Source organism: Homo sapiens, chromosome 6 (genome assembly GCF_000001405.40).
Source record: "Homo sapiens chromosome 6, GRCh38.p14 Primary Assembly".
NCBI lineage: Eukaryota > Metazoa > Chordata > Mammalia > Primates > Hominidae > Homo > Homo sapiens.
This window is the reverse complement of record NC_000006.12, coordinates 122,685,757-122,712,394: the sequence shown is the minus strand read 5'-3', so window position 1 is coordinate 122,712,394 and position 26,638 is coordinate 122,685,757. Positions and strand designations below refer to the sequence as shown.

Here is a 26,638-nt window from a genome sequence, read left to right as displayed (position 1 = left end):
CACGAACCTCTTCCAAAAAAGGCGAAAGAACTAGAATTACTTCTTTATGTGCCAACAAAAACAGATCATTATTTATTCATTCAGTCATCTCTTGAGCTCCTACTAAATTATTAAGTGCAAAGCCTTGTTGCTGGCCCACAAGTTACAAAGAGGAACCCAGAGTCTGGTGAGATGAGACACAGTTTGATCTTTCTAGTTACCTTTCTTGACCTCAAATCCTATTATTTGGAAATAAAGTAAAATTACCCACTCCTAAAATGTAAATGCTTTACATATCTCCTATTCACTTAAGTATCAAGATCATTTTAAGCTAAACAGAACTTACATGAAATGTAGACCTGCGTAATTTTTTTCAACTTAGAAACTTTCCTGTCTTTGAAATTTTTCAAAAGATGGTATTTCTCTGTCTCTAGTGTAAGTCAAAGGGAACCCTACCTTTGGTTTGTTGACACGCACATTTTTTAATGTTTATGTTCTTGCTTGCTAATTGCATAGACAGATCCTTCAATATACATTGGTAGGCACATGGAAGTTATTTTTACCACAGAGAATTTTTGACAGCTTAAACATATAAAATTCAAAATGCAAAGTCAAATTAATTTTTTCATAATTTTCCAGATAAATTAATGCACAAAGCTGAATACCCTTCCAGCACAATGTTACTTCTTATACTAACATAAGGCCACTTACAATACTAATATACATGAATGTTGTTAATGATAAAAAAGATGGACTGCAATAAACTATGTAGCCTCCTTGAGTATGTGTCTGTGTTTGGGGGAGTCAGATTTAACTGGTCATCTTATTCTTTTTAGTTTCATACTAGAAAGACTTATTCAACATGTATCCTCCATAAAGGTTTGCAGGGAGTTAGTTGGGCTTCTCCCAACCACTTGCAGATTCCCAAAAGGACTAATAAATTTCTCACATGATTGCAGGATATTACATTTGAAAAGATGATATAGTCCAGACTTCCAGATCCAGACACTTAAGTGATGCATCAATATAACATAGCTTAATTTGTGTCAAAGTCTTTCCTAAGTTTAGGCGGTACTCTTTCTTCCATTACCATGATTCCTCCTGCTGCTTTCCGTAACAAAAAACAAAAACAAACCCAGCTATCTACAGGGATAAAAATAAAAAAGAAAATTCACTGTATATGAAAAAGTCTTTCTAAAAATTAAACAGGTTTCCTTTTTAATACATTAGCTTGAGTGGGGTGTGTGTGTCCCTGTGTGGTGTGTGTGTTTGTGTGTGTGTGCTATGTATATTGGGTGTTATCCAGAATACAGTGATATTTTCACTTCTCCTTTAGATGAATATAAGTGGTTATAACCATAGCAAAGCATCCCTACTGTCTACATTTTATATAGTTTAGCTTTTATTTCTAGCTTCAGAGTATTCAGAATTGAGAGGATTTAGCACGGATTTGAAGAAACCCTTCTCATTCTTTTTTTCCCACCTTACCTCAAACCCTATTTATACTCCTTCACTTTCATTTGTTTCACATTATTCTTTCTAACCAGTGACTCAAATATTGTTGGTTCTTATTTTATTGAGGTACTGGAGCCTGCTTAAAGAAGTTAGGGTTCAATTCAAAAAGCATTTATGTAACACCAACTCTGCAAAGCCCCACGCTAGATACTGTGGAATTTGGCACAGTAAGTAAGGTCTTCCCATGCCTTAACTGGCAGTCTGTGAAGGCTGCGTGCTAGCACCTTTACCACGTGAGCAGTGGAGGCAGCGCTTAATTCCAGGATAGAAAATGAGGCCAGGCTTCACAGGGAACACAGCATTTAATGGAACCCCAGAAAATAAGTAAGCAAATTTCAGAGAAGGGCTGCCCTCAGACCACCCATTTCTCATTTAGTTGCTTTTCCAACTACTATTGTACACAAAGTATTCTTAGATTTCAAAGGGGGCACAAATACACTCCAAGTACACAAAATCCCCAGCACTGAATTTGCCCTAGTGGGAAAATAATGTGATTTTGAAGTTCTTGTGTACAATGTGATTTTGAAGTTCTTGTGGTCTGCTTGTACTCTTCCCTACAAAGAGGGAACACGGCCGTCTGTGTTGGGGGTTTACATGCAAGGCCTAAAAAGTCAGTTCCCTTTTCAATGAGATATATGGTTTTAAAATGTCAAATGGCGGTTTATGACATCAGTAGGAAGAAGAGAAGGGGAAGTTAATTCTTACCAATGTGGTCACAATAGAAATGGCTTCATATCCCTCTGCCTAGTAGAGAGACTGGAACATATCTGCTTAATACAATCAATAAATCAATGTTGAATTAATAGCTGATACCTATCGATTATGAGCTGAAAATGAAGGTCCTTTACATTATTAATATTCATAATAAAGATCAAAAGTAAATAAATAATAAGACTGAAAGTTCAGTTATTCAGTATTAAAATAGATTTTGTTTTGTTAACATCAAAATAGATAGGAGTCAGGCTGTAGACTAATGGCAAATACAATGGTTTTTAGATGTGGGTAGTAAACCTGGATTGGTAGAGCCAGAGCAGTAGTTGCTGCAAAAACTCATACAGTACGACCCTCATCTAGGACATCTGATGGTTATACACATGGACACTTTAAATTTTAAACTTTCATTTCAGAAAGCATTTATAATTAATATATACTTATTTATCTTTCAAAGGGAAAATGCAGTGTGATACCAAATAATAGAACTATTTTTACTAACACACCAAAATTTATAGATGGAAATGAGTATCATCTATCAAAGCAATTACTTTAAGTAGCCACATATTTATTCCACTTCTGAAACTGTTTTTGTGACTCCATCATTGCAACTCATTTTATACTCATACATCAAATAGTGGTAACATGTTCTATTTAAAATATAACGTATTTTATAGTAAACTGTTTTTAATTAAAAAAAAAAACTCCCACTTGATCCCATCTCTTTGTACTAAGAATGACTTCAGCTACTTTTCAAAACCTCCTTAGGTAATTTAGATTTGCACATATTCAAAATAAAACTATTTTAAATGATGATTTGAAAGCAGAGCTTTGGGCACTACTTAACTGCATTAACACACTCTCAAAGTGACTGCCCTTAGTCCTCTTGTTTGTTACACGGTCTATATGGAGCAATGGGAAGTTTGGTCGCCTAAAAGTGAACACTTCTGAAGTTGAATCCTGGACTTTCAACTTCTAGAAAGACATCTAACTTCTTTGTTGATTAGCATTCTACATTTTTAAAAAGTAGGATTTATATTATCTATTTTACTACCCTGGACTCAAATGAACTAATGTTATAAATGTGCTTGGTTAACAACTACACAAATGGAATTTATTTAGATATCAGTCATATAAATTTATAGGCACTATGACAGAGTATCATTATGAATATCAATTATTCTTTTAAGCAACAGTGTTGACGTGGCTCTAGAGACAGCCTCTGATGTTGGACTGTAGGCAGAAAGAGATTAACGCAGCTGGGCGTGATGGCTCATGCCTGTAATCTCAGGGTTTTGGGAGGCTGAGGCAGGCAGATCACCTGAGGTCAGGAGTTTGAGACCAGCCTGGCCAATATCTACTGGCCAGTATCTACTAAAAATACAAAAATTAGCCAGGCGTGGTGACGCATGCCTGTAATCCCAGTTACTCAGGAGGCTGAGGCAGTAGAATCACTTGAACCCGGGAGGAGGAGGTTGCAGTGACCTGAGATCACGCTACTACACTCCAGCCTGGGCAACAGAGCAAGACTCCATGTCAAGAAAAAGAGATTAACTCTGAGACATTTCCAGAAAGTTGATATTGTTTAAAAAGGCATTCAAAAAATCATTTACAATCTGCTTCCCAGCACACCCTCAAACCTGTCTACGTTTCTGCAACATCTGAACCATACAAGTCACCAGTCACAGAAAACCATATCTCCCCTACACTGCCCATAGGAAGATTTCTCCCTAAAGGTGAAATTTTCACATACTTTCAGAAACAAACCATGTTTCAGTGTTCTCTCCAATGGTTAAAATGGGATTGAAATTCTTGATTTCTTCATGATGCCTAAAAAAGCATTCTTAATCTGAGTAATATTAAAATGAGATAATATGGCATAGGAAAAAGGGTCACAAAAGATAATATTGACAGAGTCCTGCTTTCTCAGTGGGGCTTGCTTTAACCACCTTGTTTAAAATTGCATCTCATCCCTCCAGCTTCTAATTCCTCTTACTTTCTCTTAGCACTTACTAGCTTTGAAAATGTATTCGCATTTACTTATGATTGCAGTTGTTGCTTATTGTCTGTCTCCCTTCACTAGAAGGTAAGCTCCACAAAGCAGAGCTTTTGTTTTTGTAGGTTGTTTCATTGATGTATTCATAGGACCAAAAGCCATGCCTGATTCTTATTCAGCAAGCACTCAATAAATAAAATAATTGTCTTTCCACTTTTCAACATGAATTTTTTTTCTTTTTGCATATGACATTAATATATGCTTGTTGTTGGGAAAAGGACAATTCCAAAAGACATAAAGAAGGAAAAAGAGATTGCCATCCCGCTATCCAGTAACAGTGCTGTTGTAATTCTGGTGCATAACCTGCCAGAATTTTTTCAGCGGCACATATACAAGAATATCACAACATATTTTACACACCATTTAGTTTGAAGCTAGATGATATTTATTTGATATCATTTTATTATATCTTAAAAATGCAATCTTTCTCAAATCAACATAATTCAAAATTTCTAATGACAGTTTTGAAAAAATAAAATTTTCTTGAATGTTAACATTAGAGAGCATATACCAACTATGTAAAATATGCATAGCCAAAAAGCAAGGAACATGGCTGAGTACTGAAATTACTTATAAATGTTTCTTTAATCGGATAAATAAAATGGGTATAAAATAGATAGGTATAATGCTTTTTTAAATGCACCCACAGTTTCGGTAGTGTCTTTTTCTTCTATTTCATCAATTTAAAGAAAAACTCTTAGGATGTCTCTTAGCCCATATTTAAATGAATATAATATTCATTTTTTTCTTCCAACAAAGAAAAGGAGAGAAATGATTAAGCCTTTTTGAGCTCTGATTTGTTTTCTAAGTTATCTTCGGTACTTTACAGAAGAAATCATTATAACGTTGCAGCAAGCAAAAAATTCAATCAAAATTATGGGAACAAAAATTAAGAGTAGTTTTGAGAATTTTTCTGGGTCATAGAGGAAAAAAAATCCCAACCAAAGGGCAAACAACTTTAGAAAGAAAAATCATCTAATTGAAATATTTTTTCATCAAATTATGCATGTTTATATTAACCTGCAATTAAGTTAATAGAAGTAGCATTATTTAAATTGATACATTTAACTTTTATAAAAACATTTTGTACAAAATTATGTTACTATAGTCCTTTAGTACTATATAAGTTAAATAGAAAAATGAGGCCATGAAAATATCTAAAATATTTAAAAACATAAATTTTCAAAATTTTAAAACCACTATGCATATATTAGTTTTAAAATACATTCACAGAAAAACATTTTAAGGGAAATATACTGAAATTATAATAGTTATTCCCTTTGTGTATGTTATTATTAATGATTTCTATTTTCTTCGTTGAATTTTACTTTTTTCCAAATTTTCTATAATGAAGATTTTTATGATATGAAAAATGGCATATGCATGTGTTAAGCATGCATTGTTTTAAAGCACTTTATTGAGAATTTGTTCATGTGATTCTACACTGTGGATTAGTCACTACTGTCTTCATTTTAAGGGTGAGGAAACTGACGATCATAGAAATAAAAGGGTTTGGCTAAACCTAGCTAGCAAGTAACAGAGACAAGACTGGAACCCATTTCATCTCACAACTCATTATTTTCTCCTTAAATTACACCTCAGCAAACATTTATTGAGCACAGACTCAGTCCTCATTCAATCAATTATTGTTAAGCATCTACTATATCTTCCGTTCAGTGCAAGACTCTGGGGAAACAGTGGCAAATAAGACTAAGCATTGTGATAGAAACAGTGGGGACACATGAAGATGCTTAATATATGGTCCCCACCCTGAAAGAGTTGTGAACTCATCGTACAGATGGAATATGTTGCATATTAAAGGAAATGTAAAAATAGAAGTAAATATATGATATATTCAAATAAGTGTTATAAATAAAACTACTATAGAAATGTAAAAGATAAATGGTTACTGAATTTTGGGGTGATTAAGGAATATTTCACAAAGGCTGTAGAACACACACAGAGCCTCAAAATTTGGGAGGAATCCACACAGGTAGAAAGGGAATGAAAGGCTTACTAAGCCAGAGAAATATCTGTAAGCTAAAAGAGGGGAGTGCAAAAAGCAAGTTCTAAATAAGAGAAAAGGAAACATTTCGCTGCCATGGAGTGTTATGCCCACGTGGAGTTGGAAAAATGAGTTGGAGCATAGTCATAACATAGTGGGAAAGAAAATGAATGCCATGAACAATATGTGAACGTATCCTGTAAGCACCAGGGAATCATGAAACTTCTAAATCACATAGTAAAGGTGTGTATGAGATGCATTTTCTGGCCAGGCGCAGTGGCTCATGCCGTAATCCCAGCACTTTGGGAGGCCAAGGCAGGCAGATTACAAGGTCAGGAGATCGAGACCATCCTGGCCAACATGGTGAAACCCCATGTCTACTAAAAATACAAAAAATTAGCTGGGCGTGGTGGCATGTGCCTGTAATCCCAGCTACTTAGGAGGCCAAGGCAGGAGAATCACTTGAACCAGGGAGCTGGAGGTTGCAGTGAGTCGAAATTGCGCCACTACACTCCAGTGTAGCCACAGAGCAAGACTCCGTCTCAAAAAAAAAAAAAAAAAAAAGATGCGCTTTCTGAAAATAGAGACAGATGTCAAGGAGAACCATTAAAGCATATTAAAAGGTGAAGTTTTTAAATCAAATCTACCACAATAGAGTAATAAGCTGATTCCAAAAATTTATATGAAAATGCTACAGACTGAGAATAACTTCTTATTCCAAAAAGAAAGGAAAAAGTAAAGGACTTACACTATCAGACTTGATGGCTATTAATTCTGTGTGGTATTCCTCAAGGGTAGACAAATAGAATACAAAATAAAATAGACACTCTAGAAATAGACAAATACACTCTTATTGTCCATTGATTTCTGAAAAAGGCTTTGATTATCAATGTGGTCATTGAACCATGATGATCTTGGAGGACTCACAAAGGCACCACAAAATTAGATATTGGTGGAGAAATTTTTGATCATGGAAACAATAGATCTTGTTTATAATAATTTGTGACAAAAATTCTAAGGATTATTAAATAGATGGCTTTCAGCTATAGTGTTTTTCTGGTATATTTTATTTTTAGACAAGGTCTCCCTCTGTTTCCCAGACTGGAGTGCAGTGACATGATCACAACTCACTGCAGCCTCAATTGTTTGAGCTAAAAGCAATGTCCTGTCTGCCTCCCGAATAGTTAGAGCTACAGGTGGGCAGCATCACACTTGCCTAATTTTAAAACTTTTTGTAGAGTTGAAGGATGGTCTTAAACTTCTGGCCTCAAGTGATCCTCCCTCCTTGGCCTCCAAAAGTACTGGGGTTTCAAGAAGGAGCCTCCACCTGATTCAATGATCAACACTTTGCTATATTTAATCTCTCTAAACATAAACACACACACACACACACACACACAGTTATTATTTCACCAACTGAAAGCAAGCTGCCATTAACATGACACTGCATATCTAAATACCTTAGCATATATCTAAGTATTTAAGAATTGGTCTTCTGTGTATATCCATCATACCGTTATATTTCCACAATGTTATTTTTTTCATGTTCCAATTCCTGAGATAATTCACCTTTTCTCCTGGAGTTTAGCCTTTGAAATTCTTTTGGGAACTATAGTTTTTTGATGACTGAAAAGATCTATTTTTATCTTCATTCTTACAAATACACTATTTTAGGATGAAAGCACCTAACAATATTATTCCACATTATTCTATTTTTGCTGTTAAGAAGTTTGCTAATTGTGATGGCTAATTTTATATGCCAACTTGACTGGGCTACAAAGTGCTCAGATACTTGGTTAACCATTTCTCGGGGTGTGTCTGTGAGGGTGTTTCCAGAAAAGATTAACATCTGAATCAGTGGACTGCATAAAACACATTGCCCTTCTCAATATGGGCGGGCCACATCCCATGCATTGAAGTCCTGAATGGAATAAAAAGATAGAGAGAAGGAGAATTTCTTTCTCTGCCTGTCTTCAAGCTGTCTTCAGTCTTCAATCTTTTGCCTTAAACTCAGACTTGGCCTGGAACCGACAATAGTGGGTCTCCCGGTTATCAGACTTGAACACAAACTGGAACCATATCATTAGCTCTCCTGAGTCTCTAGCTTGCCAAAGCCTTAGGACTTCTCAGCCTTCATAATTGCATGAACCAATTTCTCTCTCTCTCTCTCTCTCTCTCTCTCTCTCTATATATATATATATATATACACACATATATATATAGCGTTTTTTATATAGAGAGCGAGCATTTTTGCCGTTCTTACGTAGAGCTTTTACATATATATACATATATATGTGTGTATATATAGCTTTTACATATATACATATATACATATATGTATATATATGTGTGTGTATGTATATATGTAAAAGCTCTACATAAGAATGGCAAAAACGCTCTACATAAGAACGGCACCTGCATCATAAGTGTATTAGATTCTTCAGAGAATTGCATCATAAGTGTATATAGTTCACTATTCTCTCTTCAGCTGTGTCTAATCAGCTGCATAATCCACACACTGTTTTTATTTCCAATTATCATATTTTTATTTCTAGGCAATCTACTTTGCTCTTTTTCAAGTTTAGTTCATTGTATTACAGTATCTTATTACTTAGTCATTTATACTTACATATGTTTTCTCATAGTAAAAATAATAAAGGAATGTTTTAATAATTGAAATAAAAACAGTAGTCTTATCACACAAGAGCAACTGTTTGCTTTCAGTCTTTTTTCTGTGGGGTTTTAAATAGTTTTCAAAATACTGTACTGTTTCCTGCTGTGTTTGCTTAACATACGACATAAGCATTTTCCCATTAAAATTCTGTAAGTTTAAAAGAAATAAAAAATTAAAAAACCCTCAATTATTCTTTTCAAATATATTAAGGCTATAAAAATTTTTTACAAATAGTAATAACAATATCATATACAATGTGTGTTCAGTACATAGACAATATGCATGTGTACATTATACACGATGCATTAAAATGTTATATTATCTTTTACTTAAAGGGCATTTCACAGAATAGAGCTGATACATTGAAGCTTGTTTCGTAAGAGAAGTCAATTGAATCTTTCTGTAGCACATTATTGCACAATTATGGCTTTAAACAAAAGTTACAAGTCACAAGTTCTTACATTTTGGGTCATGTTGTAGAATGTATTCCAAATGAAAAATGGAGGAGAAAGTACACGACATCATGCTTCATGTTATGGCATATAAATATTAACTATTTTAACATATAACTGTATGATGAATGATACAGTTAAGACCTATACTATATCATATATAGTTATTATTATAAAAAGTTATACATTATGCCACAGTACTAAAATATATTCTTCTCAAATAGTGAAAAAAATTCTCTACGAAAAATTCCAATATTTAAATTCTTTATACTCTGATCCCATTGTTTACCGTTTTTGTCGAATCTTTCTCATGGAGACTTATTTCTTTGGTTGCTTCGTGATTTGGGGTTCTGAGATCATATTTTTAAAAACATTTCCCTTAAGGCTGGGTGCAGTGACTCATGCCTGTAATCCCATCACTTTGGGAGGCCAAGGTGGGCAGATCACCTGAGGTCAGGAGTTTGAGACCAACATGGCGAAAACTTGTCTCTACTAAAAATATAAGAATTAGCTGGGTGTGGTGGTGTGTGCCTGTATCCCAGACACTAAGGAGCGTGAGGCAGGAGAATCACTTGAACCCAGGAGGTGGAGGTTGCAGTGAGCCGAGGTCACGCCACTGCACTCCAGCTTGGGCAACAGAGTGAGACTCCATCTCAAAAAAAAAAAAAAAAAAAAAGTTTTTTTAAAAAATTACCTGAGACCTGGGTTAAATGGGGTTAAGGTGTTTTCCTCTACCTAGCTCTGAATTTGCCTCTGCTGGGGCAATACCAGATTGGTAGCCTTATATTCTCAGCATGACTTTTGTTCGGATTACATAGACTACACAGTTGGAAATTTGCACACTCAATGTGAGGTTTCATTTTCGTTCATAAGTTATTAAGAGAGTCTTTCCCCCGTTTCCATCCAAGGCAAAGTCAAGACTGGCAAGTCTCCTTACTGTCTTCCTTGGAGGTTAGGGTTTTGTCATATTACCCTTTTATTGAGCATGTCACTCTTAGAAATCCAAGTCTTATTCTGGTTACCTAATGTAACTAATAGTAACTCTTGTTACTATTACTCCCACAGCCCCTGGTTGTTCATACTATTCCTGGTTACAACCCTCACATGCTCCTGCATGCCCTGCAATGTTCTTCTCCTTTGGTGGTATGTATGACCAGTAAACTGCTGTGGATCTCATCTGTCCAGTGTTGGGTGTTGGTTGTCTAGGCATCTCTGAATCTCCAGGGCAGGAATCTTTCGTTCACCAATGGGGTGAATAGAAAGCAATAAAATCCACTGGTGTTATGAACCATATGACATGCCCAACCATTTCAGAAGACACCTAGTCAGTTAAAATTAACTGTTCCTTGGTTATTTGGTTCTGAGTTATTTGGCAAGGGTACCTGAGACAGAACTGCTAACTGCTGATGGGCTTGAGCTATGGCCTATGTGGCACTGTTATGCCATCTCTTTTAACTCTGCAATGCTCTTGTCCCCAAGAAGAAAATGGTTGTTAACTATACCCTGGTGTGACATGCTGTCAGGTTCAGCCTGTGTTTGGCAGGTGATCTCTGAAGCTTCAGCCTGTAAATGCAATGAGAAAACAGTGCCTTAACCAGTCAGTACTTCATTCCTGCTTACCAGAGCTCAGGCTAGAGCTCTCTGATCACCATGTCTAGCCTGGTGACTGTCACTGGCTGCTTGGAGCAGCAATACAGACATTGCTTGTAATGGTACACCTATGGAACAGGCGCAGAGGCAGCCCTGTGTGAGGTTTGTGGGAAGGAAAGTGGCCACACCATGGAGAACCAAGCATGGTATCCTGGTTGCCATTGTTGTTCATGCAAAGGTAGTGACCTTTCTGGTCTCCTCTGCTGCTGCTTCCTGAGCTGCTATTGCTTGCACTCTCATGACTCCGAAGGGCATCGAGGTGCAGATCCATGGTGGCCTGTGGCACAGGTGCTAATGAAAAAAGAAAAGGGTGGGGAGAGGAAGGAGCATTTGGTACTCAAATGATTTGCCAATGCAAAACCCATAGCCAGTATGCCTGGGCTCAGCACTGCTGCCTACTAGCACACCAAATGGCCAATCTTGCAATCATGGGCTTGCTGGCCCTATCCAAGCCATAGACTAATGACTTTACTGGATATGGACCTCAACTCTAGAGAGATGGACTCGCACTTCCTAGAGGAAGAGGCAGCCACTTCTGAGAAAGGCCACTAAGCTCCCTAATGTTTTCCCATAAGTACCCAGAAAGTTTGCACCACAGGTGATTTTACAGAAAGCTCCAATTTCACCTAGCTAAAAACTCAAAATATTCTCAGGGAATTTGTGCAGAGAAAGAAACAAACAAAGAGGGAAAAAGTCCACACGACAGAAACGGTAGGGCAGTGGCAGCAGGAGATAATTTTGGTCTATTGAGTCTGGGTTATAAACCTAGCTTTCTTTCCCTGTACCACTCTGCTTACTATGTCTCTGTTGCAATAAAGATCCTAATCCTTGAGGTTATAGAGAAATACCTATGTTACCTTTGTGGCACTGTGGTACCCCATGGCACCATTAATTCAAACTCAACTTAAGCCCAGGGTCTTTAAACCATATAAAGCAACCATTGCTGTGGGGGAAACCCCTAACCCTGATGATACTAATTTGAAGCTCTCTGAGAGAAAAGACTTATAAGTATCATCAGGGTAAAGAGGATCCCACACCACCACCCCACCACCACCAAATATGTCCAGTGACCACCACTAAAAAAAAAAAAAAAAAAAAAAAGAAAGAAAAGAAATTTTAAAAAGCAAAGAAAAAAATATCCTGGATACGGGGAGGAACCAACAACAACAACAACAACAACAACAGAACCCTAAAACAAAGATCTACAATTTGACCCAATTGGAAATTCAAAATATATTAAAGGCATTTATATAGCCAAGATAAAGGGGCACTGATTGGCTTTTGTGCCTCTACAGTATAGGTTCTTAATTAACTTTAATACCTGCTGAAATGCACCAATTGGCAAACCTTCATGGTTTTAACTGGCATTAGGGCTCAGATTACAGTTATGACTAGGATCTTCCTAAATTTAAACATGGTATCCCCCATAACATTAGGGGAGTTCTGGCATATAAAATAGAGGACAAAGAGATATGCCTCTTCTTAACCATCATAATTACTGTCTTGCCTAAATTTCTCATCATGGTCATAGCAATCATTGCCCTAAAATATCCCATAATGGACATGGACGCTCTGACCCAATGAAAAATAAATGGAAATTAGATTAAATCTTGACACTTATAAATTGGCTTGACAGGATGGAAACTCCCGACTCTTCTGCCTCCACCCCAAATTAAAATAATTATTAACATGGCTCAAAGTAATTTAAAACAGGGCTTTTGAGGATTAAAATTTGTTACATGACAGCTATAGAGTGCAGGGGTTATTATCCCCACTGCTTCTCCATTTAACAACCCAATCTGGCCTGTTTGGCCTGTCCTTAAACCTGGAACAAATAAATGGTGCAGCACAGTAGACTGCTGCAACCTTAATGCCATGGTCCCATACAGTTCAGGTCCCTATTTCCAACAAACTGAGTATTGAAACTTCTGACTCCATCCAATCAGCAACTGATAAATATTTTGCTACTATGAATTAGGCTAATATGATCCATTTGGTGCCAATGTCAGCAGTTTAGCAGTCACAGTTTGCTTTTACCTCCCATGAGACACAATATATATATATATATTTTAGTTCACAAATGCAATTCTTTTTTTTTTATTATTATACTTTAAGTTTTAGGGTACATGTGCACATTGTGCAGGTTAGTTACATATGTATACATGTGCCATGCTGGTGCGCTGCTACATAATATATTTTTACCAGGCTACTCAAGGGCTACCTCAGCAGCCTTGCTACTGCACACAGTCTTTGCAGGCAGGATCTTAATGACATCCACCTTTCTCCAGGAGCACAGGTATATTACATTGATGACATCCTTCTCCAGGAAGATTTGTTTGACGTATTCATTAAGAATATACAAATACAAAGGAACTCACACAAAAAGGGTGGATATTTCACACATAGTACAAAGTCCTGTGACTTCTGTTAAATTCCTGAAAGTTATTTGGTAAAGCAAAAGCTGCTCCATCCCTGATACTGTCAAAAAACAGGTATTAACCCTCTCAGTACCTACAAGGTTAATACAAGTCCAACATCTTTTAGTCTTTTTTGGGTTCTGGAGACAACATATTCTTTTGCAAATTTTCTTTAATTTCACTAGTGCTGTTACTTACAGATTGCCCATCTTAAAGGGGAACCTCCTCAACAAAAGGCTGTAGAAGCTGTCCAAAATGAAATCAACAGGCACTCCAGTTAGTGCCCTCAGAGGCTTCAGCGACCTCATCTCATGCCTCCTGGAGTCTCTAGGCCACCTGTGATGGTCATAAGTTGCTCATGGGCTTCTGATGCAAGAAACTGCCTTTCCTGGCCTTGTACTATACACCATTACAGTGGCAATTACTGGCCACACACTGGGCTTTTCTGGAAATAGAGGGTCTCACAGACTTTGAGCCTGTGACCCTCTGTACCCAGCTACTGCAATGCCTGGTAATGCATTGGAGCAGCACCCCCATGAATCTGGCCTAGCTATGAGACCTCTTTGCGACAGGATGGAGTCAAGCTTGGCCCTTCTGGCATATTCTATCTGTAGAAGGTGGTGGCCTCCTCTACCATCAGTCCTTTGCCAAAACCATGGTGCTAGGGGAAGTCATCCCTTTCCTAGAGTCCTTGGCTACCTGGAGAGCCCCCTGGGATCAACTGAATGAATGGCAATAGAAGGCCATACATTTTACCAATGATGTTGCCACAATTATACATGATAGAGCTCAGTAGAGAGTTGTTGCTCTTAATTCCTTAACCAAGATGTCCCTGATAAAGAATAGAACCCAAGGGTCAGCACAATTGGCACACTCTAGACATTTATCTTGGCAATGGATGCCCTGGCCATTTCACCTCATATGTATATTTTTACAACTCTTAGACCATTGCCTAAGGGTCTCACTTTAAAGAACTCTGTGAATCTCTTGTTTCACAGGTACCCAAATATAAATATATAAACCAAATCAACAGGTTTCTCTACATATCCTAAGGCCACAATACAAGGCCTCAACAGGATATTCCTTATCTCATTTGCAGTTTTAGACACTAGATTGTTACCAAGGCACTCATTTTATGTCTCAGAATACACAATGGAATCTTGAAGAAAGCTTTCCATTGAAATGCAGCCTTCCCATAGGCCTCAGGTAGTTAGCCCCAGGCAGCTACTTTAATTGATAAGCCTAATGGGTTTTCAAAGAACTATTTAAGTCACAATGAGACAAATGTCCCTCTACCCCCTTGATGTCACCACTGCCACAAGCATTGGTTAGTCTCAATTCACACCCCCTGGGAGCATCCACTCTCTACATCAATGTCACACAGGTCTCTCAATTGCTTTTACTGGTTATATATGGAGACATGCCCGAAGTTCATGTTTTTGGCAACCACCTCAAAATGTGGCCCTCTCTGCTTGGTCAGGTGCCTACTTTGCTTCCTAGGAAGGCACATCTCCTAATCCCTAAAAGTCTCAGTTATCATCAAGATTTAAACTGATGTCAAAGCATCAAGTGATCAATTGTAGCATAAAGCCAAAAATTTAGGCTTGATATCTGATAAAACAGGTCTCTAATGGCCTAACTACAAGTTCTCCTCCCATAGATCAGGTATCCTAGACAGACCACCATCCTTATGAAGGGGACCAGGCACAGTTTCTATTTATCCTTGAGTAGCAGGTTTTGTTCTCTGTTTGCCTGCCAAATCAAACAAGTGAATCACATCATTCCACAAGAACTGGGAGCACCCTACCCTCTTAATTCTCCAAAGGCTACCTCCTACAGACCTGGTTGTTCACTCTGCTCTTGAGTGCAACTCCTGTGTGGCCCTGCAAGGTGTGCCATGTCCTCCTCCCCCAGGCCATCAGTAGACATGACTAATAACTTGCTGTTGGTCTCATCTCTTCAGGGTCAGGTGGTGTTTAGCTCTCCCTCACCCACAGGGTAAATAGGAGGTGACTAAGACACCCTACCACTAATAGCATGTTCCTTTCTCTCATGAAAGGGAGACTGAAGTGTGGAGAAAAGGCATCAGGTTCACACATATCCTGTGTCCACGCTGACCCTCACTGAGCTGCAATGTGTCCAGTTACATCAGTGTGCACAGGGATCCACTGCTATTGTCTCAGGTATAACTATTACCTCAGGTAGAGATATGTGCATCTGCATCCTCTTTGTTACATCTCTGGACTTTAAGGTTGACGGTCTATTTAAATCATTCTATGCCCTCCATGAGGTCCATGAAATCACTTCAGAGTTTCACTCCTCTGAGGGGCTGAGAACTCTGTGAGGTGGCAGTCAGGCCCATCTGCCTGGGCACTTCTCTTGACCATTGCTTGTCTACCTTTCTAGGGTCGAAGAACATACAAAGAGAGCTTCTTTTTGATACCCAAATTTTCCCTGGGAAGTGAGGGATAGTCCTCTTTACATTTGGATGTTCCTTAGAATTTTTATTATTCAATCTCCCTTCTGTTCAACCCAGTGAGCTGGAATCCTGGCCACCTTCACAGAGACTTGAATAATGACTGGGGTCTCATTACATCCTGAATTCTTCTCCCACTAGCTAGTCAATGACTCATTTCCCTTCCCAGAAACATCAAAACTTTTACATCATCATATAGTAATTCCCACTCTACGGTTTGTTCTCAGTTCTTCAGTTTCAGATAGCTCAATAAATCTTTTCTTTCAAAAAGTCAGGCTATTGTCATAAATAATGCTGACTTTCAAGACTATGGCTCTTTGTTTAGATTTTAAAAAACAGAAACTTAAGTGATCGTTTGTTCTAGATTAAGTGCATCATCCCTCAGTGAACCACCTTTATAGAGTATTAAAGCAAGTATAAAGGAGTAAAGAAATCTCAGTTGATAACTAAAAATGTTATCAGCCATACACAGGTAGAACAGCTACTCTTAATTGGGCCCTTAGCTAGGCAGTGGCTTTTATTAATATATATTGTACATGGCTTTATATGCAATATTTTATTTAATCTTTACCACAGATGTCAGAGAGGGAGGGAGAGAAGAGAGAGGAGAGATAGATTCCCTACAATTCAAAAGAAACAACTGAAATAGAGTCTTTTAGATATTAAGAAACTTGCCCTAAGCTAGGATTTAAGCCCTGTCACATAGGATTCCAAAACATGGATTTTAAAAAATTTCATTATATTGCCTTTTCTAGAGTCATAGGCCCTTATAAATTTAGAAGAGATTAGACTAAAATAACTTTATAAAGTTATAAAGAAGTCACCTAAAAGTCACCTAGTACAGCCATCTACAATATGCCTGAATCATTTCAACAAGAATATTTTTCTTCTTTGAACCGCATATTCACCATAGTGTTTCAGCGAACCCAAAATATTGTTTCAGTAATTCATCTGATATGAAAACTTTAATTCATTTTTGAATCTTAAAGATCATACAATTGAATAATGTGCATAATTTTGAAAAAACTTATTTTTTGTTCTCTATACCTATTATTACGTAATACACATACAATACAATAATGTATATAATATGTGTAATCCATGAACACACACACATTTAGGTGTCATAAAATTCTTTCACAGAATAAAACAGAAACAAATACTTCTCTCATTGGTGGTATAATCCTATCTAATATAATTTAAATATTTGGTTGTTTTTAAGGTGTGTTAGTTTTGCCTCCTAGCTTACCTTTCATGTCTCAACAATTGGCAGAATTCATTAAAAATATTGAGGTCAATATAAATTTTTGTTTAATAATCCTGTTTTTTGGCTTAATGTTAGATTTTTTAATGCACTTGATCTTTGTAGCTTTTTTGTTAAAATTTGAAAATAAGTTTGCATTTCATGAGAGGGTATTTTCTGGTTACAAAGGAGAGAAGGCTCCAAAGAATGCAGCGTAGGAACCCTCTACTGTATTAGATTCCCTCAGGGTAATTGAAATTGACAGCTGACTACACTCTATTTACCAGTCCTTTTAGTCATTTCTATACAGTAAGACAAATCAATATGCATCTACTGTCAAATCCAGGACTTTCCCCTTGAAAGCTTTAATTAAGATTTGTGACCTTCTCCCAGCTATGTACACCTCGACCTGAATATCCTTTTAGCTCAGTAGCCGTTCAATGATCAGGCACTCTGCTCCATCCATCTGCTCTAACAGTGACCTCCTTCGAATTTTTTTATGAGCTTTGGATATTTTCTTTTTATAGCTTTGCCATCATAATCATATTACATCCTGACACCAGGCAGTGTAAATTAATTCCCCTTTTTTCTTATGCACCACTCCACAAAGAACCAGATTTTTCACTTTAACACTTGATTAAATTGTGGAAAGGAGAAGAAAAAAAAATTGAGAAAACTTTATCTCACCTGTGCCAGCTTGGAGACTGAAAAAGTGAATTTAAAGCAAATTAGCTCTTCCTAAGATTTTTTTACAAATCTTAACGTGGGAGATGGGGAGAAATACAAGAGAGATAAAGCAAGTTTGAATAAAACACCTATTTACTGAAAATTAATCTTATGCCATTTAAACCAGGACAGTGTTTCCCCAACTTCTGTTCATAAGACTCAGCTGGGAAGTCTGTTAGCAATACAGATTCCAGATACCTTCCCTAGAATTTTTGATTCAGTATGTCTGACATCATATGCATTACAAGCACCCTAGGTAACTGTGGTCACACAGTTTGAGAATAATGAATTGGAGTAAAGGTTAGGCAACATTCTCCTCCATCTTTCTCCAGTAATACTCTTGGGGGTGAGGGTAAGCCACATAAATCCATTGATTAAGTATCTTCAGGATCTAACTGCATATATACCCAAATGAATGGACTATTTACTGTGGTTTTAACAAAGTGTAGAAATGCATACGCACGACCTTGGAAGCCTACTCATCCAATTTCAGACCTTATTTAAAATTGCCTTGTAGTAAATTAAAAATTTAAATCTCAAAATTAAGTTTCTCAATACCTGCCCTGTCAGGATATATGCTGATGGCCTTGTCTAGATCAGTCATCTCCTAGAGTTTTTTACTTTTCACTCTGATAATCAACCCTGAAGTTCACCACTAAATCAGTTTAATATGATGTTCACTAAACATTCTCTGTGGGTAATGGTTTTTCCCCAGAAGACTAAAATCTCCCGAGAGGCAAGAACAGATTCTAAGGGTGGAAAGTAGATAGAAAATATTCATTGAGTGCTTTCCAAGTGAACTTAACATTGATCTGACACTGTGTAGTCCACATCATTTGCAGATCCTGTCTATGGGGAGAGAAAGTGTATGTTATCAAACTTCATAAAAGTGTTCTGTTGGCATTTTAAGTATTGTCATATTTATATATTAGGCAGCATGTCTGAACCAAGAAAAACCTTTCAAGTCATCCTGCCAGTTTGTTCATTCCACATCAGATCTTTCAAATATTGTCCTTTGACATTTGATTAAGGATGCTGAAGAATTTTAGTATGAGAAAATTCCCACAAATCTATCATAATTCAAATAGCTGAAGAAAATACTAAAAAGCTGACTCAGCTTGTCATAATTTGCAAATTAGTATAATTAAAGATAATTTTAAATATTCTCACTAGCAGGGGGCGGTGGGGAGTAAAGGAAGTATGGAAACATTGAAAGTCAACAGTTAGTTGACTCTAACTTCCAAGCTACGTACTACACCCTAGAGTACTGAAGTTTCAGAAAACCTTGAAGCCTTGTGTTCTGGGGTCTGCTGGACCCTGAAATTAATTATACGTCACAGGGTACAGAGGATAGAATGTTCTACATTTTCAGAAGCCCCAATTACAGTTGTGGAAATCTTAAAAAACAATGCAGATATGCATTGGTTCTTGTCTTGTTTTTATGTACTTGCATGTAAATGCAAGTCCTTTATCCTCAGCAAATCCTCTATGGAACGTGGAGAGAAAGCAGAGGTGCCTACCTTCTCTTAACTTGAATAGTCTTTATAATTTAAAGTATTGCTAATTGCCAAGATTAAAATTCAAAACTTGTTTCCTAGTAACTTATAAATCAGAAGGCTTTATGTAGTCTGAAACATAATGTTTCTTTGATGTATTTTTAATCTAAAATAAGGTAGCCCAGATGAGGGATAGATCTTGATGGCTGAATAGAAGCCTCTACCTATTGTCCCCCTGACAGAAACAACAATTTAATTTAACAACTATCTACACCTTTATAAGAACCAAAAATCAGGTACCAGCTCAACCACAGTGGGGTAGAGCACCAACCAGCCTTGTGAGGCCCCAATTCTAGGCCTTGGCTCTTGGATGGCATTTCTGGACCTGCCATGGGCCAGATGGGAGCCCACTGCCCTGAAGGGTGAGTCGCAAGCCTGGAAGCATTCACCACAAGCTGACTGAAGAGCTTTAGGCAAGTAGTGAAAATAAGCAATGGCCTGGAAGTACTCCCCATGGGGCTGTGGTGGTGGCCACAGAGAGAGATTCCTCTGGCTGTGGAAAGGAGGGGAAGGTGGGAAGGACTTTGTCTCATGGTCTGAGTGCCAGCTTAGCTGTAGTAGAATAGAGCAACAGACAGATTCCTGAGGTTTTGACTCCAGTTCCTGGCTCCCATTTGACATCTCTGAATTCACTCAATGTGCCAGGGAATTCACTGCCCTGAAGGGAGGACACAGGTCTGACTGGCTTTGCTACTGGCTGATCGTAGAGCCCTAGGGCCTTGAGCAAACATAGGCTATAGACAGGGGATGGTTACAGCGGGCCTTGGGCAAGACTCAATGCAATGCTGGCTTCAGATCTGACCCAGAGCAGTCCCAGCACTGGTGGTCACAGGGGTGCTTGTGTCACCCTTCTTCCAGCTCCAGGCAGCTCAGCACAGACAGGGAGACTCTGTTTGTTTGGGAGAAAGTAAAGCAAGAGAGCAAGAGTCTCTGCCTGGTAATACAGAGTATTCTTCTGGATCTTATTGAACATCACTAATGTGGTACCTCTACAAGCCTACAAGAACCACAGTGTTACTGGGCTTGGGGTACCCTGTAATGCAGATATGCCTTAGATCACAATACCCAAATCCTTTCAAATACCTGAAAAGGCTTCCCAAGAAGGATAAGTAAAAACAAGCCCAGACTGAGACGACTACAGTAAATACCTAACTCTTCAAGGCCCAAACACCAATGAACATCCACAAGCATCAAAAACATTCAGGAAAACATGGCCTCACCAAATGAACTAAATAAGCTACCAGGGACCAATCCTGGGGAAAAAGAGATATGTGACCTTTCAGACAGAGAATTCAAATTAGCTGTTTTGAGGAAAGTTAAAAAAAAAATCAAGATAACACAGGGAAGCAATTCAGAATTCTATCGGTTAAATGTAACAAAGAGATTGAAATAATTAAGAAGAATCAAGCAGAAATTCTGGAGGTGAAAAATAAAATTGACATACTGAAGAAGGCATCAGAGTCTCTTAATAGCAGAATTGATACAGCAGAGAAAGAATTAGTGACCTTGAAGACAAGTTATCTGAAAATACAGTCAGAGCAGACAAAAGCAAAAAGAATAAAAAGGAATAAAGCACTCATACAAGATCTAGAAAATACCCTCAAAAAGGCAAATCTAAGAGTTATTGGCCTTAAAGAGTAGGTAGAGAAAGATACAGGGGTAGAAAGTTTATTCAAAAAGATAATGAAAATTTCTCAAACCTAAACAAAAATATCAATATCTAAGTACAGGAAGGTTATAGAATATCAAGAATATTTAACTGAAAGGAGACTACCTTAAGGCATTTAATAATCAAACTCCCAAAGGTCAAGGATAAAGAAAGAACCCTAAAAGCAGTAAGAGAAAAGAAACAAATAACATATAATGGAGCACCAATATGTCTGGCAGCAGGGTTTTCAGTGGAAAATTTAGGGCCGGGAGAGAGTGGCATGCCATATTTAAAGGGCTAAAGGAAAAAAACCTTTTACCCTAGAATAGTATATTTGGCAAAAAAAAAAAAAAATATATATATATATATATCCTTCAAGCATGAAGGAGAAATAAGGACATTTCCAGACAAACAAAAGCTGAAGGATTTCATCAACACCAGACCTGTCTTACAAGAAATACTAAAGGGAGTTCTTCAATCAGAAAGAAAAAGAAATGTTAATGAGCAAGAAGAAATCACCTGAAGGTACAAAACTCACTGTTACTAATAAGCACGCAGAAAAATACAGCATATTATAACACTGAAATTGTGGTGTGTAAATTACTGTTATATTAAGTAGAAAGACTAAAAGGTGAACCAATCAAAAATAATAACTGAGACAACCTTTCAAGACATAGACAGTATAGTAAGATATAAATAGAAACATCAAAAACTTAAAAAAGCAGGGAGAGGAAGTTAAAGTATAGAGTTTTTATTAGATTTCTTTTTGCTTGTTTGTTTGTTTATGCAATTAGTGTTAGGCTGTCATCAGTTTAACATAACGGGTTATGAGATAGTATTTGCAATCCTCATGGTAACCTGAAATCAAAAAACATACAACAAATACACAAAAAAATAGAAGGTAAGAAATTAAACTATGCCACCAGAGAAAATCATCTTCACTAAAAGGAACGCAGGAAAGGAGAAAAGACCACAAAACAACTAGAAAACAACTAAATGGCAAGAGTAGTCCTTACCTATCAATAGTAACATTGAATGTAAATGGACTAAATTCTCCAATAAAAAGACACAGAGTGGTTGAATGGATTAAAAAAAAAAAGAAAGACCCAATGATCTGTTGCCTATAAGAAACACACTTCACCTACAAAGACACACACAGACAGAAAATAAAGATGGAGAAAGATATTCCATGCTAATGGAAGTCAAAAAAGAGCAGGAGTAACTATACTTATATCAAAAAAAATGTACTTCAAGACAAAAACTATAGGAAGAAACAAAGGTCATATAATGATAAAGGGGTCTATTAAGCAAGAGGATATAACAATTTTAAATATATATGCATCCAACACTAGAGCATCTAGATATATAAAGCAAATATTATTAGAGCTGGAGAGAGAGATAGACTCCCAACATAATAATAGCTGGAGACTTCAACATCCCACTTGCAGCACTGGACAGATCTGCTAGACAGAAAATCAACAAAGAAACATTGGACTTAATCTGCATTATAGACCAAGTGAACCTGATAAATATTTACAGAACATTTTATCCAACAGCTGCAGAATACACATTTTTCTCCTCAACATACTGCACATTCTCAAGAATAGACCATATGTTAGACCACAGAACAAGTCTTAAAACATTTTAAAAATTGAAATAATATCAAGCATCTTCTCTGACTACCATGGAATAAAACTAGAAATCAGGAGGAATTTTGGAACCTATACAAACACATGGAAATTAAACAATATGCTCCTAAATGACCAGTAGATCAATGGAGAAATTAAGAAGGAAATTGAAAAATTTCTTGAAACGAATGATAATGGAAACACAACATACCAAAACCTGTGGAATTCACAAAAACAGTACTAAGAGGGAAGTTAATAGCAATAAGCACCTACATCAAAAAAGAATAAAATTTCAAGTGATCAACTCAATGATGCATATTAAAGAACTAGAAAAGCAAGAGAAAACTGAACCCACAATTAGTAGAAGAAAAGAAATAAACATCAGAGCAGAAGTAAATGGAATTGAAATGAAGAAATAACACAAAGGATCAATAAAACGAAAATTCGGTTTTTAGAAAAATAACCAAAATTGACAAACCTTTAGCCAGACTAAGAAAAAAAGAGAGAAGACCCAAATAAATAGAATTAGAGATGAAAAAGGAGATGTTACAACCAATACCAGAGAAATTGAAAGGATCGGCCAGGTGTGGTGGCTCACGCCTGTAATCCCAGCACTTTGGGAGGCCGAGGTGGGCGGGTCACGAGGTCAGGAGATCAAGACCATCCTGGCTAACATGGTGAAACCCCGTCTCTACTAAAAATAAAAAAAAATTAGACGGGCGTGGTGGCGGGCGTCTGTAGTCCCAGCCACTCGGGAGGCTGAGGCAGGAGAATGGCGTGAACCCGGGAGGCGGAGCTTGCAGTGAGCCGAGATCGCGCCACTGCACTCCAGCCTGGGCGACAGAGCAAGACTCTGTCTCAAAAAAAAAAAAAAAAGAAAGGCTCATTAGTGGCTACTATAAGTAACTATATGGAATAAATTGGAAAATCTAGAAGAAATGGATAAATTTCTAGACATGCAATCTATCATACAATCTATCAAGATTGAACCATGAAGAAATACAAAACCTGAACAGACCAATAACAAGTAACAAGACTGAAGCCATAATAAAAAGTCTCCCAGTAAAGTAAAGCCTGAGACCCAATGGCTTCACTGCTAAATTCTACCAAACATTTAAAGAAGAACTAATACCAGTCCTACTCAAAGTATTCCAAAAAAAACAGAAGAAAAGAATACTGTCAAATTCATCCCATAATGCCAATATTACCCTGATTCCAAAACCAGACAAAGACACATCCGAAAGAGAAAAATACACACCAATATCCCTAAAGAATATCAATCCAAAAATCTTCAACAAAACACTAGCAAACCAATTCAACTCTTCACTAAAAGTTTCATTCATCATGACCAACTGGGATTTATCCCTGGGATGAGAGTATGGTTCAACATACACAAATCAATCAGTGTGATACATTATATTAACAGAATGAAGGACAAAAAAACATATGATCATTTCAATTGATGCTGAAAAAGCATTTGATAAAATTCAACATCCTTTCATGATAAAAACCCTCGAAAAACAGATACAAAAGAAACATACCTCAACATAAGAAAAGCCATATGTAACACACCCACAGCTAGCATTACACTGAATGGGGAAAAACTGAAAGCCTTTCCTCTAAGATCTGGAATATAATAAGGATATCAACTTTCACTACTGTTATTCAACATAGTACTGGAAGTCCTAGCTAGAGCCATTAAATAAAATTTAAAAAAAAAAGGACATCCAAATTGGAAAGAAAGAAGTCAAATTACTCTTGTGTGCAGATGATATGATCTTATATTTAGAAAAATCTAAAGACTCCACCAAAAAGTATTAGAACTGATAAACTCAGTAGAATATCAGGATGCAAAATCAACATTCAAAAATCAGTAACATTTCTTTATGCCAAGATTTAATAATCTGAAAAAGAAATCAAAAAAGTAATTTCATTTACCATAGCTAAAATTAAAATATCTAGGAATTAACCAAAGAAGTGAAATATCTCTACAATAAAAACTAAAACCCTGACAAAAGAAATTAAAGAGGACACAAAAAATGATAAGATATTCCATGTTCGTGGATTGGAAGAATCAATAATGTTAAAACGTCCATATTACCCAAAGCAATCTACAGATTAAATACAGTCCCTATGAAAATATCAATGACATTCTTCACAGAAATAGAAAAAACTATCCTAAAATTTATACGGAACCACAAAAGACCAGAATAATAGCCAAAGCTATCCTAAGCAAAAATAGCAAAACAAGAGGAATCACATGACCTGACTTCAAATTATACTACAGAGCTACAGTAAGCAAAACAGCAGGCTACTAGCATAAAAACAGACATATAGACCAATGGAATAGAATAAAGTACCCAGAAACAAATCTATACATCTACAGTAAACTCATTTTCAACAAAGGTGCCAAGAACATATACTAAGGAAAAGATAGTCTCTTCAATAAATGGTACTAGGAAAACTGGATATCCATATGCAGAAGAGTGAAACTAGACCCCTGTCTCTTGCCATACACAAAAATCAAACCAAAATGAATTAAAGACTTAAATTTAAGACTTCAAACTATGAAACTACTAAAGGAAAACATTGAGAAAACTCTCCAGGATACTGAAATGGGCAAAGATTTCTTGAGTAATAACTCACAAGCACAGGCACCCAAAGCAAAAATGGACAGATGGGATCACATCAGGTTAAAAAGCTTCTTCACAGGAAAGGAAACAATCAACAAGGTGAAGAGAGAACTCATGGAAAGGGATAAAATATTTACAAAGTACCAATGTGACAAGAGATTAATAATTAAAATATATAAGGATCTCAAACAACTTTATAGGAAAAAATTAATAATTAGATTAAAAATGGGCAAAAAAGGCTGGATGTGGTGCCTCACACCTGTAATCCCAGCACTTTGGGAGGCTGAGGCAGGAGAATCACTTCTGCACAGGAGTTCAAAAGACAATCTACTGGGACTCCATCTTTACAGAAATTAAAGAAGTTATCTGGACATGGTGACACCTGCCTGTTGCCCCAGCTCTTTGGGAGGCGAGGTGGGGGGACTGCTTGAGCCTAGGAAGTTAAGGCTGCAGCGAGCCATGATCATGCCACTGCACTCAGGCCTGGATGAAAGAGTGAGATCCTTTCTCGAAAAATAAAAAATATATATATATATAAATGGGCAAAAGATTTGAAAAAAAATATTTCTCAAAAGAAGACATACAAATGGCAAACAGGTATAAGAAATGGTGCTCCATATCATTCGTCTATCAGAGAAATGCAAATAGAAACCAATGAGATACCATCCTACTCCAGTTAAAATAGCTATTATTAAAAAGAGAGACAATAACAAATGCTGGTGAGGATGAGAAGAAAAGGGAACCCTCATATACTGTTGGTGGGAATGTAAATTTGTACAATCACTGTGGAGAACACTTTGAAGTTTCCTCAAAAAATTAAAACAGAGCTACCATATGATCTAGCAATCCTACTGCAATGTACATACTTCAAAGAAAGGAAATCAATATATCAAAGAGGTCTGCACTTCCATGTTGACTGCAGCATTATTCACAATAGCTAGGATTTGGAACAACTTAAGTGTTCATCAGAAGATGAATGGATAAAGAAAATGTGATACCTATACACAATGGAGTACTATTCAGCCATAAAAAGAATGAGATACTGTCGTTTGCAACAACATGGATGGAATTGGAAGACATTATGTTAATTGAAATAAGCCAGGCACAGAAAGACAAACTTTGCATGTTCTCAGTTATTTGTGGGAGCTAAAATTAAAACAATTGAATTCACGGAGACAGAGAGCAGATGGATGGTTACCAGAGGCTGGGAAGGGGATCATGGGTTAGTGGTGGGATGGTAGTAAAGGATGGTTAATGGGTACAAAAAAA

At 36.9% G+C, this 26,638-nt stretch overlaps 1 protein-coding gene across 14 annotated transcripts in view, besides 2 other annotated features; it reads right to left on the bottom strand.

The window, feature by feature from the left end:
* The window catches only part of PKIB (cAMP-dependent protein kinase inhibitor beta), a 254,453-nt gene that overhangs the window by 13,979 nt on the left and 213,836 nt on the right, over positions 1-26,638 (bottom strand). For 8 of the 14 annotated variants that reach the window (XM_047419002.1, NM_001270394.2, XM_011535933.4 and 5 more), the window contains one exon: positions 10,895-10,955. The exons of 5 other annotated variants lie outside the window; for them this stretch is intronic. In XM_047419002.1, the coding sequence (XP_047274958.1) occupies positions 10,895-10,907 (13 nt within the window). In that variant the 5' untranslated portion in view covers positions 10,908-10,955. Of the gene's footprint in view, positions 1-2,199; positions 2,262-10,894; positions 10,956-26,638 lie in introns of all 14 variants that reach the window. One more of the 14 variants, XM_047419006.1, reaches the window with a different exon arrangement.
* Positions 8,204-8,404: a silencer, noted in NCBI's record as "peak6077 fragment used in MPRA reporter construct". NCBI's record gives its function as "represses an SCP1 promoter by STARR-seq MPRAs in K562 erythroleukemia cells {active_cell/tissue: K562}" and the evidence as "EXISTENCE:reporter gene assay evidence [ECO:0000049][PMID:32103011]".
* Positions 15,269-16,468: an enhancer, noted in NCBI's record as "BRD4-independent group 4 enhancer chr6:123017072-123018271 (GRCh37/hg19 assembly coordinates)". NCBI's record gives its function as "activates an origin of replication core promoter dependent on BRD2, P300/CBP, MED14 and CDK7 cofactors, and independent of BRD4, by STARR-seq in HCT116 cells {active_cell/tissue: HCT116}" and the evidence as "EXISTENCE:reporter gene assay evidence [ECO:0000049][PMID:35650434]".